The sequence below is a fragment of the Homo sapiens genome, chromosome 12, assembly GCF_000001405.40.
Source record: "Homo sapiens chromosome 12, GRCh38.p14 Primary Assembly".
NCBI classification, from domain to species: Eukaryota; Metazoa; Chordata; class Mammalia; order Primates; family Hominidae; genus Homo; species Homo sapiens.
The window spans coordinates 24,398,650-24,419,885 of record NC_000012.12 but is presented as its reverse complement, the minus strand read 5'-3'; the positions used below and the strand labels follow the sequence as shown (position 1 = coordinate 24,419,885).

Genomic DNA, 21,236 nt, shown 5'->3' with positions numbered 1-21,236 from the left:
ACAGCCTCTTATCTATAGAGTTTCACTTTTTTTTAGCATGGTATTTCAGTTGGATATGCATTGTTTTATTTTGATCACCATTTGCCAATGTTTATCTTCTACAGTAACTCCCTTAGAAGTTGTCATATACATTCTAGATATTACCTTTATGTAAATGTATACATTCTGTGGTTAAACATTTAAAATTATTTTTTAGAAATAAGGGAGTAAGCACTAGCACAGCATAGCTAGCATCATTTTCTTGAGCTAATCTAATCTATAGCAGAATTGACTAAAATGGTTAATTGTACTCTTAGAGAGTGCACCCCAAAATGATGACTGGTGATGAAACACAGAAAGTTTTAGAGTCTGTAACATTTGCTGTTCAGAAAATTCTTTTGAGTCTAGACTTCATCTCTCAGGAACTCTTTTCACTAATATGACTAGGGAATAAAATGCCCCTACTCGGCTGTGCATGGCGGCTCACACCTGTAATCACAGCACATTGGGAGGCCAAGGCAGGCAGATCACTTGAGGTAAGGAGATTGAGACCAGCCTGGCAAAACATGGTGAAGCCTTGTCTCTACTAAAATACAAAAAAATTAGCCTGGCATGGTGGTGTGCACCTGTAATCTCAGCTACTTGGGAGGAGTTGCTTAACTGAGGGAGGAGAGTTGCTTAACCGAGGAGGTGGAGGTTGCAGTGAGCTGAGATGGTGCCACTGTACTTCACTGTACTGCCTTGGTGACAGAGCAAGACTTTGTCTTAAAAAAAAAAATCTTTCTTCTCCTAGGTGCTATGTAGGAGGAATGAGGACTCTAGCGGAGGTGTGGGATCCAGTGTTTTGTGTTCATGAAAGAAAAAAACACACAACATTTGTTGTGCTATAATTTTGGAGGATCCTCTTTTGACAGAAATTTCTGGGCCAATCTAGGTAACTCTGACAACTACTCCATTTTTTCAGAGAATGATGTTCTACTGATCTGAAATGGATCAACCTGGACTGGTGCTTTCAGATACATACCTGTTCACCTGCCCTGATGCCCAGTTTTTGTAGTCTTCTTCTGGGAGCTCTAAGACAAATCAGAGAGCAGAAAAATACGATATATTATTAGATCACAAATGTACTGAGTCATCAGGGTATTTTTAGAAGAAATTGGGGTATTTTTTGAAAAAGAGTCAAACCAGTTTAATAATAAAGGTAATATTTCACATAACCAGACATTAAAGATGGGGCAGATTATTGGGCTGGCCTTTTCCAATGGTTTCAGCTCCTTATCTCTGCAATTCCTAATTTCTGTTCTCCTCTGTATATCAGCAATATTCTTGAATTGGATGCAGATAGCATCTGCAGTTCCAGGTCTGATGACCACAGAGTTTGGGAAAGAGACCATCTCTTCCAGTGGCTCTCTTTAACAGTAAGGCAATGTTTTCCAGAAGCAAATCTCATTCCTGTTTCCTTGGCCCACATAGTGTCGTATGCCCATTCCTGGATCCAAACCTCATTTCCAAGTGAATGCTATTTATAGAGTGGCTTAGGCCTGGATTTACAACCAATCACTGGCAAGGAGGATGGGATTACCATGGTTGCCTTAAACTTTGCAGAATCTACTTCAGGGTTTGGAGTCAGTCCCTCAAACTGCATAGCTCTTACATACTGAGGAAGGAATGAAAGGGATATTGAGGAGAAAACCACAATATTATCTATTACACTATGTCTTAGGGCTCATTTGTGAATGTATTTTTATTTGTTTGGCTGTAGCACGTGAGTAAATAATGAACCATGACAGTTGGAGTAAGAAAAAGGAAAGAAAAAAAAAACGGCAATATGATATAAAGCATCCAAAGATGTCTGATTTGGTTGTAAAAATCTTTGAAATAATTCCTCTGATTTTTTATTATTTTTAGAATTTCACTGAGTATGAATTACATGAGTACCTAGTGTCAACCCTTTATACCTCTAAATGAGCTCAGTGAAAACCAGCTTCTGTGAAATATGATTAAACTTGCCCTTAAAACATGTCATTTGCATTGAACATTTTGTTCCAGCTGTTCTTCCCTGGCTTCTTCTCATATACCCTGTGTTCCAGGTCAGAGAGTGTCCTGGCTCTAGCACCACCACCACCATGTTTTTCTTGACCCATGGCTAAAGTATTGTCTATCCTTTTCTCCAGGCTTCCAGATTATTCCTGCTCCTAAAAACCCAGCTCAATGATTACTTCTATGAAGCCCTTCAATGACCTGCTCTGCCTGAAGGTCTTTCTTCTAGTGACATTTAAATATTATATTCTGTTCAGTTCATTTGTCAGTTAAGTCATCTGTCACCTTTTGGGAATTCTACTTTATGTCTTTGAGCTGTTCTTAACATTGTCTGTTGTAGATTATGATCTTTTTTAAGGTAGAGACCCTTGAGTCTCATGAAAATTATCCATCTTTCATGGTATCATCTTGGAAAGGGAAGTATAAAGAGCCTTTCCTTCTGGACATAAAAATAGCTCACATTTATTAAGCACTTGCTATATGCCCAGTGCAGTAACAAATAACGTTATAAGCATTATCTCATTTCTTCCTCACATACACATACAAAAACTCCATGTGCTAGGTTAGACAAAAACCTGCCTCAAAATAGGAGAACCAAGAAATGGACTCTTGTGGTAACACTGGATAACAGTCTTTAAGCTCACAGGATGTCTCTAGGCATCAGTCTCTCACTCTGTCCAGTCTCGTAGCTTTGCGTTCTTACCTGGCTTGATCAGCAGGAAGAATCTCTACACAAATGGGCAGTTCCAGATTGGAATGGTCCTCAATAACCCCAATGAGAAACAGAGAAAGAGAAAGTTGCAACAATGTTTGGGGTGATGGGGATCCTCACATGGCTTGCCAGAGCATGTCACTGATAGCCAAGGTCTGAGCAGTCACCCCTACGATGCAGCGGGAGGAAACACAGGCCAACTCCACCTGAACCATGAAGTCTGAAAGTCAAGCAGCATGGTTTCTCAATGAGATGCTGAGTAGACAATTATTCTGGTTAGCATTAATTCAAATTGACAGATCAGACCTGGATTTAGAGACTAAGGAACATGCCCAAGATCACTCAGATAGGGAGATTTTACTCAGCCTAATTTCAGAGTTTTGCTAGTAACAACTTTGCTACATTGTAATATTGTTATTCAAACTGTGTTTGACTATCATCGCTCAAAGTACAAATAACTTCAACTGTGTGGACCTCATTGTGTGTATTTTCAGTAGCAGCCCTCTTGAGAATACTCGGTGCCTCTAGTTCCTCATATAATCTCATTTTTTCTACCAAATCAGGAATTGAAACATTAGCTCATATTTTTACATTAGTTGAGTGACTGGATTTGCTTTCCTAAGGCTGTATTTCAGTCACCACGTTTCCTTACCCACGTCTTTGCTTTTGAATACATTCGTAGCTCCTGTGGCTTCAACAATGACATTTCAGATGTTAGTTTGCTGATGCTGAGATACTGGTAGAGGAAAACTGGGTTGGTCAGTCAGTGAAATCTCCCTCCATTGCCTGAGGAAGTGGCTGGATATAACAAGTTGGAGATTCATGGGTATGTTACATGGGCTAGTCCAAGATCTCTCAGTAGAGAGACATTTGGTCACCCTGGGGAGAATAAACCAGGACTGACCGAGCTGTGGATGCAGAAGACCTGCTTCTTAGAGCTCCTGAGATGAAAATGTGTAAGTCCTGTTATCTGGCTTCTTTCAAAAATCCCTGGCCTGCCCCGCTCTTGCTTGGGCCTGCCAGCAGGGCCTGTTCTTCAGGTTCTTCTTGCCCTTTCAGTACCCAGGAGAGACCACCCACTGTCTCACTGCAGCTCCAAGTCTTCCCGTTTCTCTCCTTCTGATCCAAGAATTTCAATGTCCAGGATAAGTTTTCTGTAAGTCTTGATGTTACTGAATTTTTGACGCGATGTAATTTTTCATGTGTTGACGCACAACCTGTGTTTTGTTGTTAAGCCCCTTTCCTGTCATTCTGGAATGCATCCTCATTTTACTTCTTTCTCTGCTAATGACTTTTCCAACTTTGATGTAGTTAGATCACAGCTTCTTTATTAGCAAGTTTTAATGACTTTGTTTTCTCCACCTCATCTAACAAAGTACGTTACGGATATTGCTCAACAATACTACGTGTGTATTTTATTTGACTTCATACTCAGAGATGGATTGAGACTGTCTATGACAGTAATATTAGGACCTGAAATTTCATCTTATTTATAGAGGGGGCTTGAATGTTGGCTGTTACTGTGTACTTCCAGTTTGGGCTAAGAGCTTTAGGATGAAGCAAAGTTTACCAGCCTAACTCACAAATTGGTATGTTGATCTTTCTATCTTTATCCATTCATTCTTTATCAGCTGAGGGGACTAATTTGGGATTTAGGGGAATATAGAATTTGATGTATTTTCAGGGTTTTTGCTTCTAATCAGGAATAATGGCTTTATGTGTATAAAAAAAACATTAAAATATTATGTGCTTTTATTCAAACTAGATGTCAATTATCTCAGAGTTTACATTCACTCCACAGTGGTACCATGGCTGGAAAGAGGAACAAGTCTTCTTATATAAAAATGTGGCCTATTAACAACAAAAGATGGATTAATATACTTTCTTCCTATTTACAGTTTATGGTCTATCCTGAAGGGATTTGTTGTGTTCACCTATGTTTTTTAACTGGCAAAGTAAGTATAACTACCTTTAGTTCATGAACATCAGCAGAGGGATATATCTATTTTACTTTTTAATATTAAAAACCACAAAGCCTTTTCTAAATTAGCAGGGGGGGATTTACACAGAGAACTAGTGAAAAATGTTATGAGCTTTCATCCTCTGTTTTGGTTTGAGTTGCCACTTTGGGGCTTTTACATGTCTTTCCCTTTCCCATCTCATCTCTAGGAGGCAAACAAAGAAATATAATTTGCATTGGCTATAGAAATGCCTCCGAGATCACTGCTGTAAGTGTGCTGGGGATTTGGAGTAGAAATTCTGAAAAGGAGAAAAAGACAAGGGTAAAAGCTCTGTTGACAGGAGAGTTTCATAGGCATGTGGGGAGAGCACAGCATTGGACATGGCAATACAAATTCTGCAAGCTTCCTCTCTTTTCCTAAAAACAACAGTCTAAGAATGCGGTAGTTCTGTCTGGTTAAAGAGTTGGACTCAGTGGCAGCTGTCGAGCTTAGTTTTTCTTTCTAATTCAGATACTTCCCTATTGGAGTGTTTTGCACCTTCACTTCCTTTCTCTTTTCCTGTCCGTCATCACATGTGGCACCTCTGGGTGAGAGGCAGGCAGATGGCTGTCTCTGGACATGATGCTTAACGATGCTTTATCCTTTGACCAGTACACGGGGCTGGAATGGAAGGGCATTTGAACTTGCACTTTGATGCAGAGTATTAGCACATTCACCCTCTGCTGGCAGCAGACCAAGGACCCCAAGTTAGCCTGTGAACCAACTTTTTCCCTGGAATATAAACAATACATGAACTTGACTAGGAGGTCAGCTCTTCAAAGCTGATTTTTTTTCCCCCAATGGGATCCACTGTTTGTTCATATTTAGGCAGCATCTAAGTAGAGGCAATTTAGACATTTAACCAAAGCAAAATTTAGTCTAAAAAAATAGGAAGATCTCATTATAGATTCACAGATCTGTGTATTTGTGTGCTCAAGGATAATAATAATACTGGGATACATTTCAGAGAAAAGAGATGAGTAAAAATAAGAAAAAAAATTAATGGATTTGAGCCCAAGTAAATGAAACTCTATTATTTAATTATAGTATCTGACTGTGAATATAAATGGGAGATGAACAAGAATTTTTTCCTTCAGTTTGGATCATAGAAGACTTCATGACTAAAAGGGGAAGTCTATCACTCAGAGCTACAAGCTAGAGGTTTGATCCTTCATAAAATGAATCAGGGAATATAGAAAATATTTTGGGAATTGAGGACAGTCTCTTTTGCACACACTCAAGTGTTTTTACATTTAAAGTGAGCAAAACTGCATAATGTGGAATATATGCCTGTGTCCTTCAAATTTGCCACTCTGGTAGCCTGGATAGATGGGAAAAAAAATCACTGACGCACGATGAAAAACAACATGCTCACTCTTAGAATTTCATGCTTGGAACCTCTTGTGGGCTAGTGTCTGCAATAATATCGATGACTGGGCCATTTATTTGTTATCTATTGCTACTTTTGGCAAATGGGTAAGTTGAAACCCTAGTGTCCTGGTTAAATTCCAATGTAGATGAGTGATAATATTCCATCTGCCATGTTCTTATTTTGCCTTCCTTAAGGAAATGAGGCATAACTGCATTTCAAAGCAGACTGTTGACACACTTTAGATAAAAAGTTAATATTTTTATTTCTCATTATGTAGTTCATTGTCATCAGAAGTTGTTGCTAACCCAGCCCCGTCACTGATTCACCTGTGGCCTTGTGTAACAATGTGGGCAGATTGAAAGAAAAAAATGGAAAAATATGTATCATGCAGACATTAATACAAAGAAAGTGGGAGTTGCTATGTTAATATCAGATATAATATTCTTTTGAGCAAGGAAAGTTACTAGTGACAGAGAGGGATATTATATAATTATTAAGACATTGCTCCACCAAAAAGACATGACAATTCTAAATGTGTATGTACTAAATAACTGAGCTGCAAAATACATGAAGCAAAACTGATTAAATTGAAAGGAGAAATAGACAAACTCACAATGTTATTCGAAGATTTGAACACCCAAGTTTAATCACTTTGTAAAAAAACTAGACAGATAATCAGCAAAGATATAGAGGAACCTCAACGTTGGTAACCAAGAAAATCTAACTGAGGCCGGGCGCGATGGCTCAAGCCTGTAATCCCAGCACTTTGGGAGGCCGAGGTGGGTGGATCACGAGGTCAGGAGATCGAGACCATCCTGGCTAACACGGTGAAACCCTGTCTCTACTAAAAATACAAAAAATTAGCCGGGCGTGGTGGTGGGCACCTGTAGTCCCAGCTACTCGGGATGCTGAGGCCAGGAGAATGGTGTGAACCCAGGAGGCGGAGCTCGCAGTGAGCCGAGATTGCGCCACTGCACTCCCTCTCAAAAAAAAAAAAAAAAAGAAAATCTAATGGAAACCCAGCAGCAGCAGCACACACATTCTTTTCATGTGTCCATGGAACATATTCCAAGAGAGATCATATCCTGGGCCAGGAAACAAATCTCAATAAATTTAAAAGAACTAAAATCATATGGGATATATTTTTTGACCACCATGGAATCAAATTAGAAATCAATAACAGAAAGAGAACAGGAAAATTTCTGAACCCTTGGAAACTGAGAAATATACATTGTAAATAATCCATGGGTAACAAAGAAAGTCTCAAGGGACATAAATATATTGAACTGAATGACAATAAAAATAGAACACGTAAAAATTTGTGGATCACAGCTAAAGCAACTTTGAGAGGGAAGTTTATGGCACACCACACAGGTACATTAGAAAAGAGGAAAAGTCTCAAATCAGTAATCTAAGTTCATAGTTCAAGAACCTAAAGAAGAGCTGTAAGTATCCAAAGCAAGCAGAAGGAAGGAAATAATATTAAGAACAAAAGTCAATAAAATTGAAAACAGAAAAATAATCCATGAAAAAATTAAGGTTACTTTAAAAGATCAGTAAAATTGACAAATTTCTAGTAAGACTAACAGAGTAAAAACAGAAAAAACACAAGTTATCGATATCAGTAATCGATACGATTTATCGATCGTATCGATACGATACGGATGTATCACTGCAGACTCTGCAGACACCAAAAGGATAATATGGGACTACTACAAACAACTCTACACACATAAATTCACAACTTAGATGGATCCAATCCTCAAAAAACATGAACTGCTGCAACTCACCCATAATTAAATAGATAATTTTAATAGCCTTACAACAGTTAAAGGAATTTAATCCCTAACTTAACAAACTTTCAAAAAAAGTAATCTTCAGATGGTTTTACTAGATAATTCTACCAAACATTTAAAGAGGGATTGAAACCAGCCCTAAACAATCTCCCCCAGAAAGCCATTCATTTTATGAAAGTAGTATTACCCAGATACTAAAACGAAGTACAAAAAAAGAAATGAGACCAATATCCCCCATAAATACAGGTACAAAAAATATTAACAAAATATTAGCAAATAGAATTCAACAATATGTAAAAAGAACCATATTATACATCATGACCAAAGGCTAGTTTATTTCAAGGGATTCAAGGCTGGCTCAGTATATGAAAAACCATCAGTGTAATTCAGTATGCTAACAACCTAAAGAAGAAACATCACACAATGCTATAAATTCCTGCAAAAAGTGCACTGACAAAATTCCACAGACATTTATGAGAAAAACTCTCAGAAAAATTGAGATAGAAAACTTTCTCAACTTTACATGGAACATCTATAAAACATCTACAGCTAACATTATACTTGATGAAAGACATGAGTGTTTCCTCTTAGATCAGGAACAAGGTCAAGGGATGTCTTCTCATGACCCTTCTTCAACACAGTGCTAGAATTTCTGGCCAGTGCAAAAAGGCAAAAAATTGTAATTAAAAGCATATGGATTATAAAGGACAAAAATAAAACTGTCCCTATTTTTCATTTGATATCATTGTTTATGTGGAAAATCTCATGGAACATTAAAAAAAAAAGAAAAGAAAAACTAACTCCCAAAACTAATTTGAGTTTAGCAAGGTAGCAAGATATAAACATACGAAAGTCAGTTATATTTGTATATATTAATACTAGCAATGAATGGCTGAACATCAAAATTTAAAATGCAATACTATTTACAGTCACTCAGAAAATGAAATACCTAGGTATAAATCTAACAAAACACATTAAAGGATGTGTATGCTGCAAGCCACACAATGCTGAATGAAGATCTAAATAAATAGCTCTATCATGTTCATGGACTGGAACACTCAACATGGCAAAGATGGCAGTTCTCCTCAAACTGACACACAGGCTTAACACAATTACTATCAAAATCTCAACAAGGCTTTTTTGTAGATACAGAGAAGAAAAATTTATATTGAAATTTCAGCTGAAAAGCAAAGGAATTAGAATAGCTAAAAGAACTTTGAAATAGAAGAATAAAGTGGGAATAATCTACCCAGTTCCAGAATTTATTATGTAACTGTAGTGATCAACACTCTGTGATATTTGCAGAGGAATAGACACTTATATCAATGGAGGAAAAAAACAGAGAAGCCAGAAATTGACTCACAACATATTAGACCAATTTTTGACAAAAGTGCAAAAGCAATTCAACAGAAAAAAACAGCCTTTTCAACAGTTCATTCTTGGAGTGATTTGGACATTCATAGGGAAAACAAACAAAAAAACCCTTGACCTACGTCTTATAACTTATGCAAAAAGTAACTCAAAATAGACCACAGACTTAAATGTAAAACTCAAAACTATACTACTTCTAGGGGTAAAAAGAATCTTCAGGGACTAGGTCTGGACAAAGCATTTTTAGATTTTATACCAAAAGCTGGAGGAAAAGTTGATAAACTGAACTTCATTAAAATGAACAATTTTGCTATTTGAGGCCAGGTACTGTGGCACACTCCTGCAATCCCAGAACTTTGGGAGGCCGAGGCAAGCGGATCAATTGAACTCAGGAGTTGGAGACCAGCCTGGTCAACATGGCAAAACTCCTCCTCTACAAAAAATACAAAAATTAGCCAGACATGGTGGCATGTGCCTGTAGTCCCAGCTATGTGGGAGGCTGAGGTGGGAGGATCACCTGAGTCTAGGAGGTCGAGGCTGCAGTGAGCCTTGATTGCACAACTGCATTCCAACCTGGGCAACAGAATGAGACCCTGTTTAAAAAAAAAAAAAAGTTGCTATGTGAAAGATCCTATTGAAAGGACGAAAAGCCAAGCTACAGACGAAAAACCAAGCTACAGATTGGAATAAAAGTGTTTGCAAACCATATATCTGACAAAGTACTAGTGTCAAGAATATAAACTCTGAAAACTCTATAGTAAAAAAGAGAAATCCAATTAGAAAATGGGCTAAATACCTGAAGAAACATTTCTTGGGAGAAGATATACAGATAGCAGCTAAGCACGTAAAAAGATGTTCAACATCATTAATCAATGACAAGTGCAGAAAGGCTAAAATAAAAGATAGTGACAATATCAAATGCTGACAAGGATGTACAGAAACTAGCTCATTCAGACATTGTTGGTGGGGATGTAAAATTCTGCAAAACAGGTAGATTTGGGGGAGGAAAAAACAACATTCATCTGCCGTATATAACCTAGCAATGCACTCCTGGACATTTATCTCAGAGAAAAGACAACATTTTCACACAAAAACCTGTATATAAATGTTTATGACTTTATTCATAATAATCTCAAACTTTAAAAAAAATTATTTTTTCTAAAAAAAAAGGGATACATGTGCAGAAAGTGCAGGTTTGTTACATAGGTATATGTGTGCCGTGGTGGTTTGCTACACCTATTGACCTGTCCTCTAAATTCCCTCCCCTCACTCCCCACCCCACAGCAGGCTCTGGTGGTGTATATTGTTCCCCTCTCTGTGTCCATGTGTTCTCAATGTTCAACTCCCACTTATGAGTGAGAACATGTGGTGGGTGGTGTTTGGTTTTCTGTTCCTGTGTTAGTTTGCTAAGGATGATGGCTTTCAGCTTCATCCATGCCCCTGCAAAGGACATTATCTCATTTCTTTTTATGGCTGCATAGTATTCCATGATGTATATGTACCATATTTTCTTTATCCAGTCTATCATTGATGGGCATTTGGGTTGGTTCCCTGTCTTTGCTATTGTAAATAGTGCTGCAACAAACATTTGTGTGCATGTGTCTTTATAGTGGAATGATTTATATTTTGGGGGTATATACCCAGTAATGGGATTGCTGGGTCAAATGATATTTCCGGTTCTAGATTCTCGAGGAATCACCATGCTGTCTTCCACAATGGTTGAATTAATTTACATTCCCACCAGCAGTGTAAAAGCGTTCCTATTTCTCAACAGCCTCACCAGCATCTGTTGTTTCCTGACTTTTTAATAATTGCCATTCCAAATTATTAATCGGTGTGAATTAATCTCAAACTTGAAACAACTCAGCATCCTTCAATAAATGATTAAACAATCCATACCATAGAACACTATTCAGCAACAAAAATAAACTATTGATACATACGTGAACCTAGACGAATCTTTAGAAAGTTCTGTTGAGTGTATGATTTCATTTATATAATACTTTTGAAGTGAAGAAATTATAGAAACTGAAAATAGATCAGTGGTTTCCAGGGGTTAAGGAGGGTGGGGTGGAGCGGAAACAAGTGTGGCTATAAAAAGGCAACCTGAGGGATTTTTGTGGTGTTGGAAATGTTCTGTATCTTGACTCTGTCAATGTCAGTATCGTGGTTGTGACAATGTAGTATAGTTCTGCAAGCTGTTACCGATGAGGGAAACTGGGTAAAGGCTGCCCAGGATCTCTCTGTGTTTTTTTGTAACTGCATGTGGATCTACAATTATTTTAAATTAAAATGTTTAATTAAACACAACATTTTCTGTAAAGTCTTCTAGATTAAAATCTGAAAGCATCACATTTTCTGTAAAGTGTTCTAGATTAAAATCTGAAAGCGTCTTTTGGCGCTTTCCATGGGAAAGCTTCATGTCCCCTCTTTCTGCCCTCAGATAATCATATGGCAGTCGCAGAGCCTTTTTTGCTGTTCCTGGACACGCTTAGCAAGCTCTCACCACAAGGCCTTTGTACTTGCCATTTCCTCGTCTGGAACATTCCTTTCTCTGGCCTGCTCATTCACTTCATCGAGATCTCTGCTCAAACATCACCTTATCAGAAAGGTTTTTCTTTGAACAGTCTGTCTACAGTACCATTCCTGTCATGAGTGATTCCCTAACCTGGGTTTATTTTTCTTCTCTCATCAGAAACAGATTGGACGCTTTAAAAAATTCCAAGTCTTGGATAGAAACCTCGAAATTCCCTACTACGTTTCCTCTTTTCTATACGTTGTTCCTGGATTTGGAGCATTTTATTTCAAAAGTAAATGAAACAGGCAAATTCACTCTATTTCCATTCCTTCTGCTGATCACTCCGTATCTGTCTGGTTGGAATTTTAAGATTTTAAGGCTTCTATAGTAGTATATATACTGTATTCTGTCACACTCAGCTTATTGCAATCCAGTGATATTTCTTAAAATAGCTAAGACTTCAGACAGTCAACCCCATCTCCGTACATTATGAATCTGCCTATAAATGACTGGGCTCTAATTCTTTTCTAGGCTTTTTAAACGGTCCAAGGTGTAGAGCCATACTTCAGGAGGATCCTCAGAAGTTTTGGACAAGCCTCCCCAAATGTGGCAGGTGGGTCTCTTGTCTGTGGGTGCAAGAAATGTAACTTTCTTTATTCTTCCATAGTTAACCTGAAATTAAATGCTGTTCGGACCCTCTGCTTAACCATATCAGCAGCCTGAGGTTGCACTGAAGTTCTGGATAAGGCTATGAGATGCCAAGTTCTCGAGGGGGTGGATCCCAGTTCTTTGGCTGTCATCTCTCCATTAGTCATGTCTGTCTTACCATCTCTTGTCAGTACTTGTGGACTGCTGCCGGGGCACACCTCGATCTATCTTCGAGGATCTTCTGTTCTCCTTCTCTTAGTTTCTTCTAGATACTTCTTGGGCACATAGGGGCATGCTATCACTGCTGCAGGCCCAGAGGAAACTCTTGGGATTAAAAAGCTCCCCCACCCTTTTTTTTTGTTTTTTGCATTGCCACTCTTGTTCAGCAGCTCCTGTGTTATGCTATGGCACGAGATCCTTTGCAAGGCCGCTTAAGTCCTGGATGTACCACCAGGCTGTTTCTGAAGTTCAGACTATACCCAAGAAAGAAACTCTTTTGCCCATCACCCCTGTCTACCCCCAACATATTTGGGGTTTCTTTAATCGTATTTTGAACAAGCACAACTTAGGAAATCAATCAAAACACAATTTATTTTTCATCTCCTTCTGTTTCTTTGAAATGCATTGGAGAAGGGTGGCAGGTATTCCCTTGCTTCGGGTGAAATTTAGGTCTCAGGCAGACTCCATACTTCACAAGTTCATTCTTAGATTTTAAAAAAAAGTCCTCTGGACATTTTAAGTTACAGAAATAATCTACATTCAGAAATGTTTATGTCCAATATCAAATCATAATCATAGCTTCAAAGTTAATTTAATATCAGAAGATCTACCCTCCCCCATCTGGGGCCCAGTTTTGAGTTGGACTACTGCAGAGGGAAAAGGTCTGTCATTTTTTCCTCTCTTCACCTGTCACCTCCTATCCCACTTCCTAGTTGCTGTTGCTGAACTCTCAGGGGTTGGGGCACAGGAAAGAAGAGGGGAAAAGTAGCTCAGGGATTTTTCTCACTTGAACGAATGTTATATTAAGCTGGCTTTGTGTTTTCTGGGCCAGGAAGCTGCTTAACACTGACTCTCAGTTGATCACTTTTGGGAGACTTTCATGGCCCCTCCGATGGACCCACGCAGCTTCAATTCTTCTGACTTGGGCAGGGCTTCTCCTTCAGCGCCCTACTCCCCACTCAGCACCTGGTTTCAGATAGTCTGTTCCCTCTGGCCTCTGATTTGGTGTCTTGTGAATACCGCCGTTGATCCTCTTGGGCTTCAGGCTGGCTCTCTCACACCTGGCCCACACCTGCTCTAGGAAAACATGCCTCTTATGAACCTTCATGGGCGGGAGAGGCTGCGGGCACTTCTCAGATTGCAGAGCTGCTCCTAGCCCAGCTCTCTTGTCCTCTGGATTTTCAGGATGGGAGCCAGGCTGCAGTCCATGGGGTCTCTCAAACTCCAGGGGGTACATACAGGCCCACTAAAGGTTTCCTCTGAAGCCTCTCTAAAGACCTATGGAAAAGGTAGCCCTTTCTGTCTCTGTCTCAGGGAAAGATGGGACTTGGCATCAGCAGCAGCTCTATCCAATAGCCTCTTAAAGCCTCTTCCCCTCCTCTCCCTTCTGTTGATCCTTTATAACTTTTAGAGCCATCCATAGTTCTCAATTTCTTTTAAAATCTGCATTTTGACCTGGTCATTTACATTGAAATTTCATACTTGTTTCAGGAAGGTACCTCAGTTGAATCTCCCGATCTGTCATTCTGCTCCCATTAGGGAGAGTCGAGGCAGTGGGGCCTGGGATCAGGGTGGCAGGGGAATAGGATGAAACTAGCCACTTCTATCTTGCTCCTGGATCCACTGATGTACACACATGCCTTAACTACCTTATTTTGCACTCAAAGGGGTTTACATCTGCCCTTAGCTTATTTTATATGTAGGAAGGTCTCTTCTGATCCTGTTTTCTATGGGCGGGAATCATTCCAGTTTCCTAGGGGGCATTAGGCTTTCGAACCTCACAATTTATTAACTGACACCCCCTCAGTGCCCTGTTTTCCCTTCCTTGCCAACAGTTTTCTAACGCCATGAGTGAAGAGTATAGCTACTTGGCTGACTGGAGAAAGAAGCAAGATTCAAGGAAATGAGATAAAATACTTCAAATAGTATACCCCCCCATGATAAAATATATTGCCTGCCTTCTTTCTGGAACTTACCATGTGATTTTTAATCCTAAAAATGGCACCGCATAATTTATATTAAGGATTTGACATTTGAGGAAAACAGTTGTGTTAGTTTGCTAGAGCTTCCATAGTAAAGTACCACAAACAGGGTGACAAACAACAGAAATTGATCGTCCCACAGTTCCAGAGGATAGAAGTCAGAAATCAAGGCTGACAGAAGGGTAGTTTCCTTCTGACGGCTGCAGGCGAAGAATCTGTTCTGGGCCCTTCTTTTTTGGCTTGTAGATGGCTGTCTTCTTTCTGTAGCTCTTTATATTATTTTTCCCCTATGCATATTTGTCTCTATGTCCAAATTTCCCCTTTTTATAAGGACACCAGTTATACTGGATTAAGGCCCACAAGAATGACCTCATCTTAACTAATTACATCCACAAAGACCATATTTCCAAATAAGGTCACATTCTGAGATCCTGGGGTTAGGGCTTCAACATATGAATTTGGGGGGAAGGGGCAATGCAACCCATAACACCAGGGTTCAGAGGAGCGCAATTACTTCAAAGTCGCACAGACCTTGAAGTTCCCATGCAATTCCTCTCCATGACTGTGTGACTCTGTAGCTCGCATTCTTTCTGCTATCCTACACTTCATCTCAGCTCTTACACGCAGGATTATGCAACAAGAAGAATGCTGGCTTTCTTTTAAACAATCAAACCAGGCTAGCAGAAGTATGGACCCATCTAGGAAAAAGCTCTTAGACATCAGGTGGTGCCATCACATGAACTCAGAACAGCAAGCCTTGCACAAAGGGGAAATGGCACCTGTCTGTAGAGAGGTCCAATCTATCACCATCATACCATTGGCTAGAAAATGAATTTCTGCCTGAATTCAAGGTATAAATTATGCCAGGGTTCAAATGTTCCTGAAGCTACTAAAATAGTGTCAACTTGAGTTTGGTGGTGTTATTCATATGACTTGTGGTTTGCATTTTTTTGGTGCTTTTGACCTATATTCCTATCTAAATATGCTGTGTGTGTGTGTGGTCGGCTTCACGTAGGGCATATTTAAACAATGTGTAATAAAACAACATATTTAAATCATGCAAAAGGAAAAGGGTAAACTGTTAGCTATAAAGTTCCTGCAGGCATTTACTGGATAATGATAATGATAGCTTAGCTAAAAAAGGATAAAATATGTTCAGCTTCAATGGGGATTATATTTAGGAGAATTATCGGATTGTTTTGATATTTTCCTTTTAAAAACAATTCTTTAGTGCCTCCTAGGTGGGAGATAGGAATTATTATAGTGATTTGGAAACATGGCTTTATGTATATGAACATAATTTGAGTCTTGTAGTATTTGTCACTATTTTATTCCAGATGGCAAAATTCTTTTATTATTCCTTTCAGTTAAGACCTGAAGTATATACCTACAGAAACAAGTCCATGATAAGATTTTTCTTGCCAAAATTCTAATAGGTGCTTACTTACTGAGAAATATGCGTATTGAGAAATGCTTAAGAAAAATACACTTTAATGAAGCTGCACTAATGATATTTATTTAGCTAATTGTGTACAGGGATCTAACCGTGATTTTAAGTAAAGTAGACTGTTGGCCATGTAAATAAGCTTGGCACAGGTGTGCAGGGTTTTAAGAGAATTGGGTAGGAGAGCTAATGAAAATTAGAGTCAGGCTCAAAGAAATATTTTATTGTAAATTGAATTTCGCATTGTAAAACAAATACAGCTGCACACTAATATTTTAAAATAAGAGTAAAAAAATGCTCACAGTGTAAGAACTGAAAGCAACAAAACTAGCTTTTTGGTATATTTGCTTCTCCTCCTTTTTTGTTTATTCATTCAACCGAGCTTTACTGAGCACCTACTCAGTGCAAGCACTTAGGGAATAAAGATAGTTAAGACAAGGTTTCCGTCCTTAAGGAGATTTGATTTATCAGGGGAAACACACAGTGAATGAGTCTTTATAATAGGGAATAAGTGCAATACTTAGGGAGAGTGGCCAAAGAGGTTGCTATCAACTTTATTGTCAGCTCTGGGAAAGCTTCACAAGGTAAGTTGAAATAGAAAGTTGCTCAGAAATGCTTTAGCCAGAAAAGAGGAGAAAATAATTTCAGTTCCAGGGAAGAAAGAACATCTGCTCAGGTATGAGAAGATGGAAATAATATTACAAGGAACTGTAAATAATGTAGCATGTCTTGAATAACAGAGAATGGGATTGGAGTAGGTGGGAGTGATATCATGGGAAGATTTGTGCCTGTTATCCTATTGGCAAGAAAGATTTTCATGTAGGGGAAGAGTATGTTTAGAATATCATTTTAGAAAAATTAACCTTCAGCATTATGATTGGATAGACGGATTAGAAGTTACAAGCTTTAGGAACTAAGAGATTGATAAGGAGCCAGATAAACCAAGAAGCTGAAATAAAGCTTAAATAAACGAAGCTTGCATGGGTTCCTAGCAGTATTTTAGTAGGGACCCTAAATTGTGTTTCTGCAGCCATATGTTTTTATAAATGTTGCAAAAGTACAAATTTCTAAGTTCAACCAGTTAAAAACTCAGGCTTTCTTTTTTTATACTGCTACACCTCTGTTATGTTTCCATTAATGTTAGGTGACATCAAAGTGCCCACATACATTTTGCATTCACAATTTTGCATTCTTTCTCTTTAAAAGGGCCCCCAAATTGTATAAGCTTTAGAACCTCCTAAATGCAGATCCAGTCCCAAGGTGATATCCAGAAGAGACATGACAGGTTCTTAAAACAAGAGAGTAGCTGCAGAGATGAAGAAGAAAAAGATACAAAAGAGGCAGGCGGAGGAATTAATGGCTATGTTGGTGTGAGGAACAGGATTGTACCAATATTTCTCTTAAGACCATTAATAGGGGAAAAAAGTGGTAGGGACAGGTCACTATTGTAAATAACATTTTATGGAACATCTTTATGTGTGTGTTTTCATATTTCTGGATTTACAGAGGTAGATTTACTATGTCAAAGTGTGTAAATATTTTAATGGATTTTGTTATCTATTACCAAATTGCTTTCCAGGTAAATTGTGCTATTTAACACTGCTGCAGTTAATGTAGAAATGGATTTTCTTGTCCATACTCCCACTAACATTGGGCATTATAATTTTAATTTTTTCAAGCTAAATTACTAGGTAAAAATGGCACCTCCTCATTTTACTCTGAAGTGAGATAAATACCATCCATTATTGTGAACTCTCTCTAGGCATCTATTTTCAGGGGGTAGTTAATGTAGTCTTTTCCTGGTAGTGATTTAGGGAGCATTAGGAGGTAGGTGTAAATCCTTTATGTGAGTAGTTATGTTATACATTCTAAATACATACATACATGCATAGATCATAAAAGCTAGAAATAGGTGAGGCTAAAACAGTTTTGCAGATCAGATTTAGACCAGCTGTTGGCAAACTTTTTTTGAAAAGGGCTAGAGAGTAAATATTTTAGGCTTTGTAGGCTAGGAGGCAAAACTGAGGATATTATGTAAGTACTTTAAGTGAAAAAAATATTTTGCAATTTTTTTTTTTTTTTTTTTTTTTTTTTTTAAAGATAGGGTCTGGCTCTGTCATCCAGGCTGGAGCGAAGTGGCTCAATTGTGCCACTGCATCTTCCAACTCCTGGGCAGAATTCATCCTCTTGCCTCAGTCTCCCCAGTAGCAGAGACTACAGGCATATGCCACCATGCAAGGTTAATTTTTTAATGTTTTGTAGAGACGAGGTCTCGCTATGTTGCCCAGGCTGATTTCAAACTCCTGGCCTCGAGTGATCCTCCTGCCTTGACCTCCCAAAGCTCTGGGATTACAGGTGCGAGCCACCAAACCTGGCCAGTACAAATTTTTAATGGACATAGTTCAAAATATAATAGTAATAACAAAAAATAACTTTTTTTTTTTTTTTCCCCTGAGATGGAGTCTTGCTCTGTCGCCCAGGCTGGAGTGCAGTGGCACGATCTCGGCTCACTGCAACCTCTGCCTCCCAGGTTGAAGCAATTCTCCTGCCTCAGCCCCCTGAGTAGCTGGGACTACAGGCACACGCCACCAGGACCGGCTAATTTTTGTATTCATATTAGAGATAGGGTTTCACCTTGTTGGCCAGGTTGGTCTTGAACTCCTGACCTCATGATCTGCCCGCCTCAGCCTCCCAAAGTGCTGGGATTACAAGCATGAGCCGCCGTGCCTGGCCAACAAAGTGCATTTTTTACACTATGAGTCAGGTTTTGGAGAGAGGACATTTTTCTTAATTGGGAGTTCAAAGTTAATGTCTCTGTCACCAAATTGATTGTAAGTGGTCATCTGTTAAAATCTCCATTTCTATTTCAAAGGAGTGAGCCAGATTTGGACCACAGGCCATACTGTGCCAACACTTATTTTAGACACTGACATTTATAAAGTCATTTGCCTATTAGACTTTGTTAACATATTTTGTTTGATAGTGTTTCAGTTCTGTCACATACCTTATTTGAACCTATTTGGTATCTACAGTTTGCAAACTCAGCAAAGTGTGTGTGTGGAGCATGGAGGGGGTGGTTATTCTGCATTGCTAATGGAATTTGGGAGTCTACCTGAGGCAGCAGGACTATTACACTGAAGCATTTTGTCTATTTAGATAAGGAGACTCGGGAAGAGAAACAAGAAACCAGACTTAGTAGGTCTAAATTTCATCTGTTAATGCATGCATTGGAATAATTTTGAATGTTCCCTGTTGCTGACTTTGAGTCAACTGTGACTTGGTACTGGCTATTAATTTCTTTTTCTGCTAACTTTTCAGGCTTTGTGCTTTTGCTTTAACATTGCTGTTGCTCAGCAACTTTCCTAAAAGTCGAAATTCTTCCCCCGCCCTCCTCACAAACTTGTTGTCTTGAAATAATTTATTATAAATCATTTCATTTGCTAATGCTTCTTGTGGCAAGGCCACTCAGTTACTTGGGTGTCAAGAATGAAAAGAAGGAAGAAAAGAAACAAAATGGAAGGTTATGAAAAAATTTAAAAACTAATTAGCATTTTAGTTATTTCACCCACTTCAGAGATTGTGCCATCTATCTTGAAAGTTTCAACTGAAATTTGACTTCTAAATTTAAGACCAATTTTTCCTCTAAAGTCTTAATGAATGGCTTGAGAAGTCTATTAAAACTTGAGTTACTTTAGCTACTTTCATGAATATGCTGAATTATGGACTGGATTTCCTAATGCTAATGGTCAGATTGAAAGTTTATGTTTTATCTTTTAATGGGTATATTTCTAAGGCATAATCAAAGATAATTAAAGTAGAATGAGCTTAATATGAAAACCTTATTGTAGATAATAGAGCAAATTTTCCTTACGCTACCAGTACATAGGATATTTTGATTTGGTATTATGTTGAATGGAGAAATGTACTATACCTATATGTTCAACAAATATGTTTTACATATATTTTAGAGATAATATGTTATTAGATTACAATTTGTATGTTGCTGGGAGCACAAGAGAAAATCTCATCAAAATTAAATTTTGGAATTGTTTCCGCATTTATTAATGTTTCCATGGCTCTTTGGAAAGCAAAGCTTCCAAATGCATACTTCCATAGTCTTCCTGCTACTGGCAATTCAAAATAACCAGACTTATATGTGCGTTCTTCTCAACAATTGTTTTTTTAGCTACTGAAATATGTGGCAATGTATTCATTTGTGTAATTCCACATTTTCATTATACTTTAGACATGGAAAGATCTTTGTGCTTCTAGAAAATTTGTACTCACGGTTTTATAATTCCAAGAACAGAATTTGCTCTAAATACTCTTTCTTTTATATTTTTCATGAAATTAATTATTGTTAAGTATCTTCTGGACTCCCTGTGTCTTGAAATAAAATTCCTTTAGTATATCTTTATAATCACAGTTATTGACAAATATCTGATATGTATTGGTTTTTTAAAGTTTGTTCAACCAGAGAAGAAATCAGTTGTTTTACCAGAGGAGAAACTAAGCCTCAGGGTCCTTCACTCCTATGGGTCCTTTCCCAGGTATGGGGAGACGCTGTAGGCAGTGTGCTCAGATGCTCACGTGTTTTTCTGTTTGTTTGGTTTTTTTTTTGTAAAATTTGAAAAGAAAGCTATTTTAGCTGCAATCATGTAAGACCAGTGCTTCGACTTTGACTGCCCTTCCTTTAGTGTCATGTTTTGGGGTGGCATTGGAAAGACCGTGGCCGTTTTTGGTGGGGGTCCAAAAAAGGGAGAATCAAACTGGGGCTGCTGTGGTCTAAAATTAAGTGGGTTCTATTTTGGTTGTTTGTAAACACTTCCATGTATAGTGAAGCTGTTGATAATTGTCCACCTTGGCAACTCCCTGGAGCATTCTGACACAGGTGTGGAGCCCGAGGTCATGGTAATACCCAGTGCACGTGTCCACAGCACTGGTATCTCATGTATGCTCATGGGTGGCGGGAGTGAAACTAGGTTTGAAATACACGGAGACAGAAGCTACTCTCTGCAAAACCCTTCCTGTTATTAGATGTGCAATAATAGCAGAGGATGTGGGTTTATCAATGCATAGTCAAAACAGAAGTTCTCTCCTGTCAGGAATTTAATGACTAATGCAGTTCATGCTACTATTAATGCATCTTTTTTTC

At 38.4% G+C, this 21,236-nt stretch overlaps 1 protein-coding gene across 20 annotated transcripts in view; it reads left to right on the top strand.

Moving 5' to 3' along the window:
- Window positions 1-21,236, top strand: part of SOX5 (SRY-box transcription factor 5) — a 1,033,147-nt gene that overhangs the window by 142,765 nt on the left and 869,146 nt on the right. For 15 of the 20 annotated variants that reach the window (XM_047429458.1, XM_017019891.2, XM_017019892.2 and 12 more), the window contains one exon: window positions 12,320-12,401. The exons of the other annotated variants lie outside the window; for them this stretch is intronic. The gene's annotated coding sequence lies outside the window, so the exon portion shown is untranslated. The remainder of the gene's footprint in view (window positions 1-12,319; window positions 12,402-21,236) is intronic. 20 annotated transcript variants of the gene reach the window in all.